The 18,846-nt window shown below is 39.2% G+C and overlaps 1 protein-coding gene across 10 annotated transcripts in view, besides 2 other annotated features; it reads right to left on the reverse strand.

Annotated features, from left to right (window-relative positions):
* TMEM39A (transmembrane protein 39A) overlaps positions 1-15,224 on the reverse strand; it is a 34,667-nt gene extending 19,443 nt beyond the window's left edge. For 4 of the 10 annotated variants that reach the window (XR_007095705.1, XM_005247578.3, NM_018266.3 and 1 more), the window contains exons 1-4: positions 14,945-15,224; positions 13,571-13,757; positions 9,627-9,849; positions 4,056-4,139 (exon numbers count right to left, since the gene is read on the reverse strand). Coding sequence is in view for 8 of the 10 variants with exons in the window: in XM_005247578.3 (XP_005247635.1) it covers positions 4,056-4,139; positions 9,627-9,849; positions 13,571-13,683 (420 nt within the window). In the remaining 2 variants the exon portion in view is untranslated. Of the gene's footprint in view, positions 1-2,817; positions 2,927-4,055; positions 4,140-9,626; positions 9,850-13,570; positions 13,758-14,944 lie in introns of all 10 variants that reach the window. The other 6 variants (XM_047448512.1, XM_006713687.3, XM_047448513.1 and 3 more) reach the window with 4 other exon arrangements.
* Positions 14,895-15,384: an enhancer, noted in NCBI's record as "active region_20301". NCBI's record gives its function as "activates an Ori minimal core promoter by ATAC-STARR-seq in GM12878 lymphoblastoid cells {active_cell/tissue: GM12878}" and the evidence as "EXISTENCE:reporter gene assay evidence [ECO:0000049][PMID:35858748]".
* Positions 15,415-15,474: an enhancer, noted in NCBI's record as "active region_20302". NCBI's record gives its function as "activates an Ori minimal core promoter by ATAC-STARR-seq in GM12878 lymphoblastoid cells {active_cell/tissue: GM12878}" and the evidence as "EXISTENCE:reporter gene assay evidence [ECO:0000049][PMID:35858748]".

An 18,846-nucleotide genomic window follows, 5' to 3' on the forward strand; every position in this document is an offset into this window, starting at 1 on the left:
GTCAACAGTACATGGTAGGGGATAAGGAGCTTTTCAGGTCCCTCCTATATATCCGTTTCTTAGTTTACAGATCATATTATGGAGTACCTATAACATATACGCAATATACTGTATACTGAATACTATATATATACAGCATATATACGTAATATATAGTTACTTTAAAATGCAAAGCAGCAGTTGAATAAATGCCATAATGAACGGCTTAAGCCTCAAACTGTGAAGATGGCTCAAGCTCTTCTCAGTCATAGCCTGGCACATAGCTTCATATAACTCCCCTGATACATACCTTCATGCCAATTTACCTCACATATCAAAGCTTAGTAAAGTTATTTAAGCTATTGGAGTTACTCTATTACCTCCTTCTCAAAAGTTCAGGGTTAGAAATAAAAAAGACTATTTCTGCCCAATGTCATCAGAGCACAGAGCTTGGATTTGTTAATTTTGCCTTATTCCAGAGCCCCAAGCCGCTAATCACTGTGGTGTATGTCACAGACCCTTTACCAGGTCCTAGGGGTACAGTGGTAACCAAGACAAACAAAACCCCTGTGCTTATGAAGCTGACTAACCAAGAAAAACAAATATTAAACTTTTATCTAATCATTTTTTTAATTGTAATGAGTGCTATAGGAAGAGTAGGCTGCTATGGAAAGTAAATAACAGGAGATCCTATTCTAGAGATGGCTTGTGTTAGTAAACGGTATTTAAGCTGAGACCTAAAGGATAAGCAAGATTTCGCTAGGTGAGGGGCAGAAAAATATTCATAACATTATGTTAATTTTAAAGTACAGGATATGAAACTGTATATAAATAATTCTCAAATATAGTAAAATAAATGTAAATATAAAATCTTCATACGCATATGAAGATCAGAAGAAAATATAGCAAAATGTGGTCTTTGGCCGGGTGCAATGGCTCACACCTGTAATCCCAGCACTTTGGGAGGCAGAGGCAGGTGGATCACCTGAGGTCTGGAGTTTGAGACCAACCTGGCCAACATGGTGAAACCCTGTCTCTACTAAAAATACAAAAATTATCTGGGCATGGTGGTGGGCGCCTGTAATCCCAGCTACTTGGGAGGCCGAGGCAGGAGAATCGCTTGAACCAAGGAGTAATCCCAGCTACTTGGGAGGCCGAGGCAGGAGAATCGCTTGAACCAAGGAGGCGGAGGTTGCAGTAAGCCAAGATCATGCCATTTACAGCCTGGGCGACAAGAGCAAAACTCTGTCTGCCCCCCACCCCCCAAAAAAAGTGGTCTTCAATAATGAGATTGTGAGCAATTTTTAAATGTCCTGCTTTATATTTTAGTGTTTTCCAAATTTTTTTCAATAAAATATACTATTTTCCTAGAAAAACAATTTTTAAAAAGAGAGTTGCTTCAGGTTGGTGAAAAAACAGCTAAATTTATTTCTAGTCTTGTGAAGCAAGTATAGAAGTAGAGTTAGCCTGGAGGTGAACAGGCAGAGCTGGCCTGAAGGTGAATAAACGGACTCTACCTACGTGGAGAGGTAGTCCTCTCTGAATAGCATTTCCGTTTATGAATTAATTACCAGCAGCCTCTCCTTAAATATTATTGATCTTTCTCAGGGTAGGGATCCTTTCTGTGATATATGCAAAAAAAGGAGGAAAACATATTTTAATGGAAGGAAGGAAAGATGATTTATGATAGGTTTTATCCATCTAATTTAGATATTTTAGGAGGAAAATCACTATACAGCTCTTATTTTAAATTTTTGAATAGGTAACACATTCATATCACTCAAAACACAAAACATGTAACAGTGCTTGTAGTGAAAAGCTTCCCACCTGCTGATCCTGTCTCCTAGCCACCAACTGTGCAACCTGTTATTAGTTTGTATGTCCTTCTGGAAACAATTTATTCATATATAAGCAAATATATTTTGTTCCCTCCTGTCTCATTTTAAACACTGTTCTGCACCTTGCTTTTTTCATTTAACATCTTGGAGGTCAATACATAAACACATTTTCATGTTGTCAATGGCTGTATGCTATTCCATTATGTAGATGTACCAAAATTATTTAAACATTCCCTTACTGATGAACATTAAGTTATAGAATTAAGACTTTGATAAAACGATGTTTAAATTTAGCTTAAGTATTCTGTTCCCATTAAGAACTGCAAGCCTTGGCCAGGCACTTGGGATCACACCCGTAATCCCAGCACTTTGGGAGGCCAAGGTGGGTGGATCACTTTAGACCAGAAGTTCGAGACCAGCCTGGCCAACATAGTGAAACCCTGTCTCTACTAAAAACACAAAAATTAGCTGGGTATGGTCGTGGGCGCCTGCAATCCCAGCTACTCAGGAGGCTGAGGCAGGAGAATCGCTCGAACCTGGGAAGCAGAGGTTGCATGAGCTGAGATGGCACCACTGTGCTCCTGCTTCAACCTAGGCGACAGAGCCAGACTCCATCTCAAAAAAAAAAAAAAAAAAAAAAAAAGAATTGCAAGCCTATTCCAACTAAGGCTATGCAAAAGCTGCTATACTACTTTTAGGGCATTTAAGTTATCTTTGCAGCAACAAGGTAGAAATCCCAGTTTTGAAGGGTTACACACTAACTGGGCATACTAATTGGACATGTACAAGTAGCATGTCCAAGTAACTGAAGGAATGAAACAAAATCATTTCCTATTTTAACAAATGAAAACATAAAATTCCACTGAGATCCTCTAAAGAAAGAACATGCTTTCACAATATAACAAAAAGTGAGTTTCTATTTCCATCCTCTAAATAAAAACTCTGAAAGAAAAGATTATAAACAGACGTTCCTACTGTGAAAAACAAGGAATCCTACTACCTGTGCTTTTTGGTTAACTTCAAATGGTTTTCAGATCTTGACTTAGTATTTCCAGTTACTCTGCTTCCAGAAATAGGGTTCCTGAAAATCAGAGCTTACACACACAGACCTTCCATGTATGTTTTGGGAAAAAGAAGTTGACTCTCAATTATTTGTGATTATAGTAACTATTCATTTAAAATTTCACACTGAATTATAAGTTCCAAGATTAAAATTATTAGCCACTTCAGCTAAATTAACATTTTTTGTTTTTGTAATCACTTATAGAGCACAAGATAACAATATTTTAAGAAAGCACATTTCCCTGCCTCATTGGGATTTACAAATATATGAAAAATGAGGCCAGGCATGGTGGCTCACGCCTGTAATCCCAGCACTTCGGGAGGCCGAGGCAGGTGGATCACCTGAGGTCGGGAGTTCGAGACCAGCCTGACCGACATGGAGAAACCCCGTCTCTACTAAAAATACAAAATTAGCCAGGCGTGGTGGCGCATGCCTGTAATCCCAGCTACTTGGGAGGCTGAGGCAGGAAAATCGCTTGTACCCAGGAGACAGAGGTTGTGGCGAGCCGAGATCATGCCACTGCACTCCAGCCTGGGCAACAAGAGTGAAACTCCGTCTCAAAAAAAAAAAAAAAAAAAAAAGGAAAGAAAAATGATACCAATGGCCTAGCTCTGTCAACAATTTTTAATTTTAAAAAGATCATTTAATGTTCTAATTCTTTCTCATTCTGCTCACTAAACTTAGATTCTAATCTTCAGATTAATCCTATACGAATTCTGATACTCACTGGTTTTTAAAATTCTAAGAAACTCAAATAAATGTTTCTTGCTAACAATCTTCTCAAATGGTATATATAAACAGTATCAAGTGAATATTATCTGGAACTGAATGTTTTAGGTGCAATTGTATGTGTACAGATAACACTTCGTATTAATAGTTACCTGAAATTCATCCTATTTTTACTGAAACTATTTAAATTGTTTAAATTGTACTGAAAAACTCAGTAGCGGAACACAAGCTCCGACCCTACGAATGAATTTTCTAACAGTTTTTGACACTTGAATTTTAAAAAATTACACTGCAGGGAAACATTTTTTAAAGTACTGGCAGAACTCACATGGGAGTAAAGTAATTTATTGTTTCATTAAATGGGGACACGTCACGTTTTTAACCTGCACCCATTCTAGTAACTAACTCTAGCTACATGTGATAGAATATAGTCAATGAACTGTTACCTCTGAGATGAGAGCCCATACAAGCCTCCTCGCAAGCATCACTGTGATGAATGCTGCCAGATGATAATCAATGAGATGAAAATTCTACAACAGAAATAAATAACTACATCAGAAAGAAATATGATGTGTATTCAGCTGGCACTACTACAAGAATAGAGGTTTATCCCTCAAAAGATCTTCCTTAGATCACCACACCCTTACAGATTATGGGAATATGAGAGATCTTGAAGAGACTACGTACCTTCTACTTCTTCTTTCATAACAAATTGCTTTAAGTTTTTAAACACTATTTTAAACTACCTGCAATATATTCCTCTCCCTTTTCAAAAGTATTACTGTACTAAAAGGAAAAGATTGCAGCTTTGAGTTAACAAGTTATAACCTGCAGAATTATGGCAAGAATAATTTATATAAAATGGCATATTTATAATGTGTCAAACTATCAGTTGGGATTCAGTCTTCAGAAGTTACTGTTGTTGGTCTCTTACACAAGCTTATGTTAATCTAATTGGGCATCTACTAAATTCTCTACTAGATGGTACATCAATTATACTCATTTAGTGTTTCTCCTAGTTTGATTTAGAAGTATGCCTTATGTTTGGTCTCTTCTAAAAAATAATAGCATTACCTAGATGCTGTCTACAGTTCCTTCTAGTTCTAAATCTGTATATACAACTGTGGTAATAAGCAAATGAAAAGTCTTTAGCAACAATATCCCAGGAACCACCAAAATCAGGATGTATTTTCATTTTGATGATCAAAAGGTCTGTAGGTTTCCACAATTCCTTCCAGAATGAAACATTAAATTTCTTGATTACTTAATTTAATAAATCTATACATAGCATCCACAATGCACCAGGTACTCTCCTTCACACTAAAGATACAGTGTGGAAGATGACAGCCAAGGTTCCTGCTCTCCTGGGTCTTACTTTCTACTGTGGTGTCAGAGGGAAAGGAAATGGCAGAGATTACTATTCGTTCCTTCTGCATCACCATAAAATTTAACTAGGCACTGACTCCTAGCCAGCTAAAGGTTCATTTTCCAGCCTCCCTTGCAAAAACTACTTTTAGCCAAGGGATGAGTGAAAAAGTAATACGCACAACTTCTAAGCCATACTCTTCTAGAAAGAGCTGTCCCCTTTTCTCTTTTCTTTCTCCTTCCTGCTGGTCAGATATGATAACTGGAGTTAGAGTACCTGCCTTGGACCATGGTTTGGAAGAAGCATATTGGGGATGGAAGAGCAATAAATACAAAGAGTTGCCATGCTGATGTTATATCACCCACCTAAACGTTTATTAAATAGGGAAATAAGTTTCTATTTTGTTTTAGCCACCCTGTTATGGCAGCTAAACCCATATCTTCAATAAATTTGTTTGGAGAAGCAGGGCAAGTAATGACAATAAACAAGCTCCCAAACAAAAGCATTTTAAATAGTTAAAACTGCTTGTAAGAAATAAAACAGTAACAAATAATGACTAAGAAGGAGGTGCAGAGCCCATTTAAACTGGTGGTTAGGGAGGCTATCTCTGAGAGGATGGCATTTGGGCTGAGAGCTGAATGACAAAAAGGCACCTGGCATTACAAGCTCTGGGGACAAAGGGCCCCAGACAGAAGAAAAAGCAATCACAAAGGCCCTAAGACAGGAAAATATATGCCTAGTGTGTCTAAAAAGCAGCAAGAAGGCTGGAGTGAGATAATTATTGTAGTGGGGCAAGATCAGTTAAGAAGCTCTTGCTTTTAATTCGAGTGAAAAATGATAACAGACTGAATAGTGTGAGTAGCAATGGAGATGGAATTAAGTGGCCAAATTTAGTATACATTTTAGAGATAGTACAGCCAGAATGTCAAGAGTGGCTTGCCACTCCTTAGATCATTTCCTTTTCTCCCTCTCTAAGTATAATGGATTCTAACAGTATTTATCCCCTCCTATTTTTGGGACTCCTCCTTGCCTACCCTACTCCTCCAAAATAATGCATGCAGATTCACTCGACCCCTGGCTGATGTCTGGGTCTTATTAATGCATCACCAGTCCATCTAAGACATTTTTAAAAATCAAAATATTGGCCGGGTGCGGTGGCTCACGCCTGTAATCCCAGTAATTTGGGAGGCCAAGGCAGGCAGATCATGAGGTCAGGATATCAAGACCATCCTGGCCAATGTGGTGAAACCCTGTCTCTACTAAAAATACAAAAATTAGCTGGGCATGGTGGTGCATGCCTGTAATCCCAGCTACTCGGGAGGCTGAGGCAGGAGAATCGCTGAACCAGGGAGTCGGAGGTTGCAGTGAGCAGAGGTCATACCACTGCACTCCAGCCTGCTGACAGAGCCAAACTCCGTCTCAAAAAAAAAATCAAAATATTTAAGTGCCTAATACATCTTTTTGTTAAGCAAATCATGTTATAACCAAATCAATGAAAATGGTAATGTGCTTATGATTAACTCTTTGTAACCCAGAATATTTGATTAATCAGAGCCCTCTATTCCTGACTATTCTGAATATTTACTACTTCTAGCTTTTATGTTTCTTAGGGTTAAGACTCATTCAGTTAATTGGTTGACAGCTAGAATGATACTTCACATATTCAGGTGTCCACATTTTCTTTTTGATATTAAGGTCTTGAAATGGAAAAATAAAAACCTAATAAATAAATCTGACAAAATTATTATGAGTATCTGACCCAGACACTCATAATAGAAGAAAACTTAAAAGACAGACCACATATTTGGGACAGAAGTCCTTGCTAGAGCCTCCTGACCAGGTAACCACCTTCCACACTTCAATACCTTCAGTGATGGGAAATAACTTGATCTCCGGCAGTCCAATCTATCTTTGAACAACTCACTGATACAGGCTCCTTTCAGATTCATGGGCTAAACTCTTATTTGCTATTTCACATGTTACTCTTGGCTTCACAATCCAATTTTAAGCTTTGTGTTAGCAAAGATTATGTGCATCAGATAAGTGAGCCAATCTACTCTACAACCTCCATTAAGTGTGCGTTCCTCTACTGCAGAGGCTGGAAAGCTAAAAATGACATTTCCAAACTTTCTTGCAACTCAGACTCTAGATACGATTTAGGTTCTGTCAACCACAGGCATCATATAAAACTTGAATAGAAGTGAGTGAAGTTAGGGGGAAAGGTAGCAAAAGGCATCCATTTTTGGTGGTAAGGGTCAAAGCAAAGGAAGCATTAATTCTGGAGTCAGCAGCTATAACAGCAGGTTCCTGATTATGACAAGAACACTGGCTCCCTGTTTCAAGGCAGTATTTGTAGGTGACTTTCTAAAGAACTATAGTCAGATATGTTAGATTGGGCAAAGAACTCTTCGATGAGACTGAAAATTCAACAAATGAGAAGTTTCCAGGGAAATGTCAACCCAAGTAGAAATTTTATAATGAACTACCCAAGAAGCACTTACAGAATAAATATAGGACTAAAACAGGAAGTAAAGCACAGTAGATTGGTCTGGACTTGGGCACTCACTATGCCGCTATGTGATTTTTGAACCAGTTTATAGGTCTTACATTCATTTATAAAATGGGAGTCATATAATGGTACCTACCCATTTTGTCTTACATTCATATATAAAATGGGAGTCATATAACGGTACCAACCCATTTTTATAAAGAGCAAATGAGATAATACTTGTAAATAATCTAAATATTTTAATGTGTGTTCGTTATTGACACTGTTAAGATAGTGAGTATTTATTTATAGAACTATATAGCTGTAAAAGGCCTTAAAGAACATCCAATCCAACTTCTTTCTTTTAAAACACCATGGCCAAAAAGGATGAATGAAGTACAGTTCCTACACTCAATAAGCTCTTAATCCAGATAAGAAAAAAAGACTTAAAAAAAAATTTGGCACTATATCATTGCAATTTTTCAACACAGAAACTGACATTCTTATCACATGATATTAAGTAGACAGGAGGTCAATATAGCAAGAAAATTTTTAATACCAGGAACAACCAAATGATACAAATATTTAAAACAAAAATTTTTATTCTCTTTCCATACTATCTTAAGGATTTTGGCCCACATTTCCTTTCTATGTTCACCATGATAGGGAGGCTTTCTAATCTTTATTAGTCCCAAACACATATATAAGACAATAGTCTTCTTTCGCCTAGAGCCTATCTCTATCACTCATGCAAATCTGCCATTGCCAACAACCTATCTGTCAAGTCATCTGACTAGCCTTAGTACAGTTTCCACAATCTTAGCTCACTGTAGTCTTGATCTCCTGGGCTCAGGCAATCCTCACTTCAGCTTCCCCAGAAACTAGGACCACAAGTGTGCACTACCATGCCCAGTTAATTTTGTTTATTTTTTGTAGAGACAAGGTCTCACTATGTTGCCTAGGCTGGTCTCAAATTCCTGGGCTCAAGCAATCCTGCTGCCTTCACCTCCCAAAGTGCTGGGATTATAGGCATAAGCCACCATGCCCAGGCCTTACCAATATTTTTTTATATACCCATCTATGGTGAACCTTCTCTGCATCAAGACTATCATGGTACTCTTTTTTTTTTTTTTTGAGACAGAGTCTCGCTCTGTCGCCCAGGCTGGAGTGCAGCGGCTCGATTTCGGCTCACTGCAAGCTCCACCTCCCGGGTTCATGCCATTCTCCGGCCTCAGCCTCCCAAGTAGCTGGGACTACAGGCGCCTGCCATCACACACGGTTAATTTTTTATATTTTTAATGGAGACAGGGTTTCACCGTGTTAGCCAGGATGGTCTCGATCTCTTAACTTCGTGATCCGCCCGCATTAGCCTCCCAAAGTGCTGGGATTACAGGCGTGAGCCACCGCGCCCGGCCTATCATGGTACTCTTAATAAATGGAAAGAGAACAGAAGAAACCTACAATATATTTTTATGTACTTCAGCAAAGACAGCCAATTTCTCAATTTCACTTCCCAATTTCCCAATTTGATTTAAGTTCACTATGTACCCAGCTAAAGGACTATATTTAGCTTCTCTTGTAATTAGGAGTGGACATGTGTGGAAATGATGTAAGCCTGGCCCATAAGAAACTGTCCTTTACATTGCCCTAAGCTCTTTCCCCTTCTGGCTGACAGGGATGGGCCACAGCCACCTTGGAGGTCACATGTTGGAAGACAGTAGAATCTCCATCAGCCTGGGTCCCCTGAAGAACTCCTGGCAACCAGGACAACTGCCTCAGAGTTTATTTGTTACAGAAGCTACCACTATCCTAATTCAGCCATTAAAAGGGTAGAGTTGTTAGAATGTAGTAACACTGACACCTTATACTTACAAATTTAAAATGGTGTAGAGAAAACTAAATACCAAAACCTTTCCGTGATATTATTATAAAAAATTATTTAAATGTTTTCTGCATTTTCATTTATATTTTTACTTCCTCTGGTAGTACTTATAATTTAACCATCTTATCATGAAATTTTATTTCTGAAAGTAATCTGTGGCCTAGCAGAAAAACATTTTATTAAAAGAAAAATTATTAAGAAAAACAATTTCTACAGAAAGGCTTTCCAGGTAGTTTCTTGGGTAAGTAACATGAAGAACTTAAAGTCTGAGTAAGACTTACCAGTGATGTACAAGAAGCAGGATGATTGTAAGGATACCACCACACTGTTTTATAAATGTTGATGTACTGAATGAAAAGAGCAACCAACAGGTAGATGAAAAAAAGGAATTCAAAGAGTAGGCTCCCATCCACAGGCAAGTCAGGAATTTGGCAATGACGAACAGGACCTGGGGTGATTAAGGCTGTGATAGGTGGGACTGGAAGGCCAATAGCACTACCATTCCTGAAAGAGAAAACTATGGTTAACTCAAATGGTGATAACCTCCAGTATCACAGAACATAAAGGGCTCCTGCTGTCTCCTCCATCTACCCCTTCACTGTCTGCTTTCCCCACAAGACTCCATCCTGGGATCCTCTTTTCTCCCTCCACACTTTCTGTCAGTGATCTAAGATGCAGCTATGGCCTCCATTATCTCCTACATGATGAAGACTATAATTTCTCTCCATAGAGCTCACTGCTAAATTATAGACACATTATTCAACTCCCTACTGGACATCTCTGTGTTCTTCCCTCCTATAGTCCTGACCTTAGTTCATGGCCCACTCAGTTAGCTGCCCACATCAGAAACCTGGGAGTCATATTAAAACTTTTCTTGGCCAGGCGTGGTGGCTCACACCTGTAATCCCAGCACTTTGGGAGGCCGAGGCGGGCGGAACACCTGAGGTCAGGAGTTCAAGACCAGCCTGGCCAACATGATGAAATCTCATCCCTACTAAAAATACAAAAATTAGCCAGGCATGGTGGTGGACACCTGTAATTCCAGCTACTTGGGAGGCTGAGGCAGGAGAATCGCTTGAACTTAGGAGGCGGAGGTTGTGGTGAGCTGAGGTAGCACCATTGCACTACAGCCTGGGCAACAAGAGTGAAACTCCATCTCAAAAACAAAACCAAAAAAAGAATATAAAAATAGATTTAAGAATCTATTCAGAACCCATATAAATTCTCTAGCAATGAGTTGTGACAACACATGTGAAGTGCTACTCATCCAGGAAAGCTCATTAGAGACTTGATGCCCAGGGTTTTTATTGGGGGCTGGCCACATGGGCACCTTCTTTCTAGCAGTACCAAAATTCTAGACTCCCAAAAAGAATGCAGGTGTTCAACATAGCTACTCTTAGGAAGGCCTGCTTACAAGGCTTACATCTGGGAACCATGACTAGTAAACAGTTCCCTACAGTGATATAAACTTTCCCTAAATAACTAGAGTGGCTCACTGTGCCTAAACTGTTTATACAAACAATGTGGTTTATGCTGAACACCTGTGTTTTGTCCTTGCATATAAAGTTTGTGTGTGGCAAAGGGTTAACACAGCAGGCCTGAGACTGACTGGTATGGAGCCAGCAAGCAGCAGAATTTAGGGAAGCAAATGGATGAAAGAAGAAAGATTCAAAGGCATAAAGAGGAATAGAAGAGGTAGGGAAAGCAGTGGTCATTTGGACACGTTCAGGTGATATTATTAACAAAGTATATGCAAGGAATAAGCAAAGAAAACAATAGTTCTTCTCAAATAAGATTCTCCCTCAATCAGGAACTCTCTAAGAAATCCAGAAATACACAATATATCTTCCTTTTTTAAAAGGATAATACTTTAAATACACTGTTGCAAGAACAAATCCCTGCTCCCCAAAGGTGGACAGCAGGACAAGGAACTACAATTTCAACCTTGACTGTGTTACCAAACTAGCTCCTTGACATTCTAGAGTTTAACTTCACCAATCAGACCACAAGCACCTACCAAACAGGGACAAATTCTCTCCTCTCCAGCTGACCTATGTCTGTCTTGCAGAATCAAATGTATCATCCAAAAGTATGTAATACTGAAGCAATTATCTATTTCCCTCCAATACTCTATAGACACTCCAGAAGTGAGTTCTCCTCATCTGGACACTCCTTCTTTCTATATATCCTTCCTAAAACTATATTATAAGCTATCCGCTAGTTCTTTCATGTTTTCATACCTCGTCCCCAGGTCTTTTATAACAAATTATTCCAGCTGCTTGCTTCCCACCAAGAAAGAAATATAAAGCTTTCTTTTCCCCAAATAATTTCTCTAGGTAAACATGTCACAAATAATCACTCAATAATAGTCTTGGTGACTTTTCAAACCATAAACAATTATTTCTTTCATTTTAAAATGTTGGAAAATACTTTTTTCTACCCACTCCCTCCCTCCCCCCAGTTAATTGCTAAATAAACATATGTTAAAGGAGGAGAGAAAGGCAGATTAAAGCAACCATGGTTGGAACCTTGAATACCAGGATAGAAGAGCTACAGTGAAGGCAGAGAAAAGAATACCAAACCCAGTCAAGAGCCGAGGTATTTTCCGAACGTTCCTACTTCTTCCCAGTATACCATCTGCAGACTCTAAGTGCAAGCAGAAGCATCTACAAATGACATTTTCATTGGCTTTCAGTTCTTTTTAATAGCAGAACGCTTTATTTTCCTTTCCTCATGATATTTTACATAGTATCTTAATATTTAAAACACATAGGAAAATGAGTCAGTCTAATTAAAAGAAGACGAGGAAAACTCAAGCCTAGACTGTTAGGCTTGCCTGATCCATTTTCCCTTCTAAGCCCTCCTACAGCAACCCCTGAGACACTGAAGAGGGATTTCATGGGACAGTCTAAGAACATTTTTATCTAGAGAACATAATTATCTAGAGGAATCCTCAAAGCCAAAGTCAAAGAGAACGAACAAAGAACTGCTAGAGTTAGGAGGCAAAGTTAGAATTTTTTAGTTGGCTAGAATCCTAGTTAGGGACAGCTAAGATTTTCTATCACAATTTGAAAGTACTGAATCAATAAGTTGATAGCATATATTAATAAAATTAAGGCATGTACCTCAAAGAGCAAACAACTTTTATCTCAATACCTATATTAGATAGTACCTTTCTTCAAAAGCATTTTCGCATATTCTCATTCTTATTTTTAAGTATATAAAATAATACTTATTTGTAGAAATTTTGTAAAATTCAGTAAAGTTTTTTAAAGTTACTGCAATTTACTACTTCATTTATTTCAACATCCTGCTATGATGCAAACAGTACCATCATTTTTAAAATAAGGAAATCCAACGAACGGCAGAGTAAAAAATACTCTAGCATAAACTAGTTACTCTGTATACATACATAAACAAAACTCGGATTAAAAATTAGTATGAGAATCGGAGACTGGAAAAATCCCTTCAAACTGGAATTTCAGGGAGAGCTCCACTGAAATGATGAGATCAGAACTAATTTTAAAGATTGGGTGGAAGAGGGATTGGAAAGTCAGGAAAAAAAAAGGACAAAGGTCAGGCCTAGAAAACAAAAGTGCATAAATACCATTAGACAGGCCTGAAAATACAGTAGTACTGATTGCTAGCTCTGAAAATTAAAATCAAGACAAGAGAAAAACTTTTTTCAGGGAGGAAGGAGAAATTAGCTGGCAGAAAATATCTTGAGCAAATACTTCATTAGGTAAAAGTATCTCTTTGAACTGCTACATTATCAAACCTCCTGATGGCATGGGCTAACCCAGCTAAAAAACAGCTAACATTTATTAAGACCAAACAATTTTTTGACAATTTAAAATCCTTGATGGAATTTGACTTATAATTTGCCCTCTAAAAAAAGAATGCTTATAAGTAGATAAACCATCACACTTACCTTGTATTTTCATTCACTTCTCCCTTCTTCTAATAGATAAAAAGGGGATAACAAGAATTTAGATGATCAGCCAAAATAAAGAATGGGACTGCTTTCACTTTGTGGGCCCCATTTCACATCTTTTTACCTCCAAAGTATTTTGGAATTCTGAATTTTGTCTTGAAGGGCAGGATTTCTACCACAGTGTCAAGAATAAATCTCAATAAGCAAATATCTGAATGACATGATGACTTTTATGTTAGTCTTACTGATCAAAGGACATTAAAATTATATATAGCCTTATTTTTTCTTTACCTGTTTCTCAAGCCTGTTCCATTGCCACAGCCTCCACCAACCAAAGTCTGCAAAGAAGGTAAAGCTGAACGGCTTAGCTGTTGCCGACTAGGGCCCCTCCTTCCACCGGGCATGTCCAGGAACCAGTCTGCTTCCAGTGCCACCTGTAGTTGCAACCCAGGTTAATGGTTGTCAACCAGTTTCAACTCTGAACGACAACAAAAACATTTAAACATCAGTAGACTATTTTTAAAGTAGGCAACAAAACAACGACAAACACTGAGTAAGCAGGCCTTACAAAATAAGATTTTCAAACGAATGTTCCCAGTGTCTACTACTTACGTTATTCGAATTAAAGGACTACTCAGACTCTAATGGGTCAAAAGCCTAAGTTCTGATCTAAGCTCTGTTCAGCTTTAGGCAAGTGATGATTTGTGTCTTTTGTCAACTGATTTGTATCATCTGTAAGATATTATAATCAAATAGAAGTTTACAAGAAACATCACACCTTATACATTTCCAGCTCAATGTTTCACACTTAAACTACTTGAAATATAGAAGAATTGGCACTTTATAAAACATTAGGTTTTGTTATCAAGGGATATGGCTTGTGAGCTCAGATGGTCACATATTATCTGACCTTATCCGGATAAGTTAACTTCTGAGTGTGTTCTTCTGAGTGTGTTTCTTCAAGGGGGGGGGGCGGGGGGGGGGAGTGTCCCCTGTTCTGCAGAGGTTGTCAGGACTGAGGAAGTGGAATGAAAGGGTACCAGTAGTTCTTTTAACAGTTTAAAAGTAAAACTGTTCGAGTGGTATCTCTATATGTTAGGGTTAAAATATTGAAAGAAACTCTTCAAGGGGATGCCCGCTCCAGAAAAGCTGGTGTAAAATCATACAGAAATTACTGAAACTGCAAGATTAAGAAGCAAGTAAAAGATAAAGATCCTCACTGGAAAAAAAAAAAAAAGCTCTTTTCATCATTCTACGGCAAAAATCATGATTCTGTCAACATGGATACCAATGTTTCCTAAACAATACAACTAAAACCCAAGGATGACACTGGAAAAAACCCGTGTTTTCAAATGCTCCCTATTCCTAACAGCCTTCGGCTGTAAACTAACCCCAAGTCAAACAAAGCATTCAAACCGCTGGATGCAGGGGCTGCTGGTCCTTGCTCCATTAACAAGCAAAGGGAAAGAAAAGTGCAGGGAAAAAACTGGGACGGAAGAGGTGAGAGTATGCGGTGTGGTGGACTGCAGGAGACCACAAACTTCAACAGACTGGTCCCTAAGAGAAGTCGGCAGAAAGGTAGACAAAGCAGTCTCCGCCGCACACCCAAGAGGGCCGAGGCAGGTCCAGGACAGCCGGACCTTGGGGCAGCTCAGTAATACTCACGCATGGAAGAGTCCCAGCCGGTGGGGCGGGGTCCCTAGAAAGCGGCGACAACTTTACAGACTGGACCCCAGGTAAGGGAACTCCCTCCCAGCGTTGGAACGCTGCAAACCAGCTGCTTGGACGCAGGCAGCCCCCGCCTAGAGAATCAAGAAAAGGTGTCCAGGCTTCGGGCTGCCAGACTCAGACCCAGACTCCGACGCAGTTCCAGTGCCAGAGCTAAAGCTAGAGCCAGAGCCTGATACTTCAGCACCCATCCCTAGCCTCCATTACCGCGGAGCTGAGCAGACGTGGCAGCGCACGGCGATGACGTCAGCTACGCGACCGCGGTCTGCCCCAGCCGCGAGTGCGTCCCCGGAATCAGCCGGCACGACAACCCCTACCATTTGCACCTGCGCAGTGGGGCGCGCCTTCTCCTCTTAACTCGCGGTCCCGCCCCTTCCGGCCAGTGTTGGCCAAAGCATTTCCTCTTTCGGCCTCAGTCAGCTAGCGGCTGCTAGGTGCGGGCACCATGCTACTGATCCTTCTTGCTGTCTCTTGGACTCCATGTAGTAACCATGTACAAGTTATCACCGCCATTTTACAGATGAGTGTAGATTAGGAGGTGTCACCTAGGGTCACGTTACTGCTAAGTGAGGGAGCCCAAGTCATGAAGTCATGCGTCAGCATCCAACCCTGCGCTTATTGTTTGCTAAGAACTAGACAGATGCTGTGGTTACAAAGCGAATACCACAAAAGCTCAGAGTCTAGTGGAAGAGAGGCGACACTAAGAAAATACAGTAATTACCATTTGTTACAATATTAAAAGTGTGTCCAAGGTCCAGAGATAGCATGTAACACTAACGAATTCTGTGGGATGGTGGTGATGTCAATACCAAGAAAAGCTTTGCAGAGAGCTTGGGGTTTCAGCCAAGACTCCACAAAGGCATAGGGGCTTTGTGGGAGAATGGCAGTCCTCCTGGAGAAGTGGCAGATAAAAAGGTAAAGATCTGTGAGCAACGTCATCTTGAGTTCAGGAATTGACAATAGTTTGGTATTAGAAGAAGATAAGAGTGTCAAAAGGAGCATTTGTGTAATCTTTCACTCCAGAGATTTTAATCTCCTTAATAGAAAGTTGTTTGTATTGATTGAATGATTAACCTTTATTAAGAATTTTGTTGTGTCAGGCACTGGATTAGTAGCTTTACACATTTCATTTAAATCTCACATTTTGATAGCTTCTACTATGGTTATTATTTTACAGAAGAAACTGAAGTTAAGAGAAGTTAAGTAGCTTGTTGAAAATAGCCTGCCTGGCCAGGCAGGGTGGCTCATGACTGTAATTCCAACACTGGGAGGCCAAGGCAGGAGGATCACTTGAGCCCAAGAGTTTGAGACCACCCTGAGCAATATAGTGGAACCTTGTCTCTATGAAAAAAGTAAAAAAATAAATCGGGCATGGTGGCTCACACCTGTAGTCCCAGCTACTTGGGAGGCTGAGGTGGGAGGATCACTTGAGCCCTGGAGGTCAAGTTTGCAGTGAGCCGAGATTGTGCCACTGCACTCCAGCCTGGGCAACAGAGAGAGACCCTGTCTCAAAAATAATAATAATAATAATAGAAAAAAAAGAAAATAGCCTGGCTAATAAGAGCCAGAACCAGAATTTAGAGCCAGAATGACTGATATCGAAACCAGTAAAGTTGCTAATATTCCCAAATATTCCTAATGTCCTAATGTACCACAGAGCTGTCACTTAGGAATACACACAAGTCTCCAACTTAGGATGGTTTGACTCACAATTTTTCAACTTTATGATGGTGCAAAACCAACACTCATTCAGTAGAAACTGTACTTCCAGTACTCGTACAACCATTCTGGTTTTTTTTTCATTTTTAAATACAGTCATGTGTCCCATAATGATGTTTCAATGAAAGACCACATAAATGATGGTGAGCCCATGAGAGTATAATAAAACTGAAAAACTCCTATTGCCTAATGATGTAGCTGTCTTTATGTTGTAGTGCAATGTATCCTGGTGTACACAAACCTGCACTACCAGTTGTATAAAAGTATAGCACATACAATTATGTACAGTATAACATACTAAATAATGATAATAAATTACTTTGTTACTGGTTTATATATTTACTATACTATACATTTATTGTTATTTTAGATTGTACTCCTTCTACTTATTTTAAAAAAATGAAAGTTAACTGTAAAACAACCTCAGGCAGGTCTTTCAGAAGGTATTCCAGAAGAAGGCATTGTTATCCTAGGAGATGGCAGTTCCATGTGTGTTCTTGACCCTGAAGATCTTCCAGAGGGACAAGATGTGGAGGTGAAAGATGGTGATATTGATGATCCTGACCCTGCATAGGCCTGACCCAAACACACACGTGTGTGTTTGCATATTAGTTTTCAATAAAATAGTTTAAAAAGTAAAAAACAAAATAAAACATTTTAGAAATAGAAAAAAGCTTATAGAATAAAGATAGAAATAAAGAAAATAGGTCGGATGCAGTGGCTCATGCCTATAATCCCCACACTTTGGGAGGCCAGGAGTTTGACAGCAGCCTGGCCAACATGGCGAAACCCTGTCTCTACTAAAAATACAAAAATTAGCCAGGTGTTATGGTGTACACCTGTAATGCCAGCTACTCAGGAGGCTGAGGCACGAGAATTGCTTGAACCTGGGAGGCAGAGGTTGCAGTCAGCTGAGATAGCACCACTGCACTCTAGCCTGGGCAACAAAGCGAGACTGTCTCAAAAAAAAAAAAAGAAAAGAAAAGAAAGGAGGGAGGGAGGGAGGAAGGAAGGAAAAGAAAGAAAGAAAAAATATTTTTGTATGGCTGTACAATGTGCTTGTGTTTTAAGCTAAGTGTTATTACAAAGTCAAAAAGTTGAAAAAAAAAGGTTTGTACAGTAAAAAAGTTACAATAAGCTAATTTATTACTGAAGAAAGAAAAACGTGTTTATAAGTTTAGTATGGTCTAACTGTACAGTGTTTATAAAATCTATAGTAGCGTAATGTTCTAGGTGTTCACATTTACTCACCACTCACTGACTTATCCAGAGCAACTTTCAGTCCTGCAAGCTCCATTCATGGTAAGTGCCTTATACAGGTGTATCATTTTTACTCATTTACTGTACCTTTTCAATGTTTAGATACACCAATACTTACCATTGTGTTACAATTGCCTGTAATATTCAGTACAGTAACATGCTGAATAGGTTTGTAGCCTAGGAGCAATAGGCTATGCCAAATATCCTCAGTATGTAGTAGGCTATACTAGCTAGGTTTGTGTAAGTATAATCTATGATGTTCACACAACAAAATTGCCTGACACATTTCTCAAAACATATTCCCATTGTCAAACAACACATGACTGTACTGCACACCTTCCTGGAAGTAGAAAAATTTTTGACTAAAGTTTCATTTGGATTCCAGAAGAAATATGCTATAGTTTTGGATATACATTTTTTTTCCTGTCTGTTCACCCAAAGTGAGCCTCACTCATACAAAAACTGGGTGGTTCTGCCCTGGTGGAATATAGACCAAATGCCCATATGGGTGTAATATGTGACCGATACGGCCCATTCCTAGGTAATCAACATTATTTTCTCTTCCACCATTCCTTAACGTGCATCCTAAAGCCTCCACTACTGTCAAGCTAAATTTGATCCCCACCTTCTGCAAATTATGGCTCCCATATTTTTAGTGACTCCAGCACAATATTCCTTAACTGTAACGTTTCCTTTTCTTCAGTACAAAATATACCCCTCCTACCCCTTTCTCCAGATTTCCACTTCATATTGATCTTTTCCTCCACTGAAACCAGTGGCACTTAACTATTGCCTTAAATTGTAAACTATCTCTAAGGAAGCATATTTGTCTTCCCTACTAGTTCTAAACTCCTGGGAGC

Source organism: Homo sapiens, chromosome 3 (assembly GCF_000001405.40).
Source record: "Homo sapiens chromosome 3, GRCh38.p14 Primary Assembly".
Taxonomy (NCBI): Eukaryota; Metazoa; Chordata; class Mammalia; order Primates; family Hominidae; genus Homo; species Homo sapiens.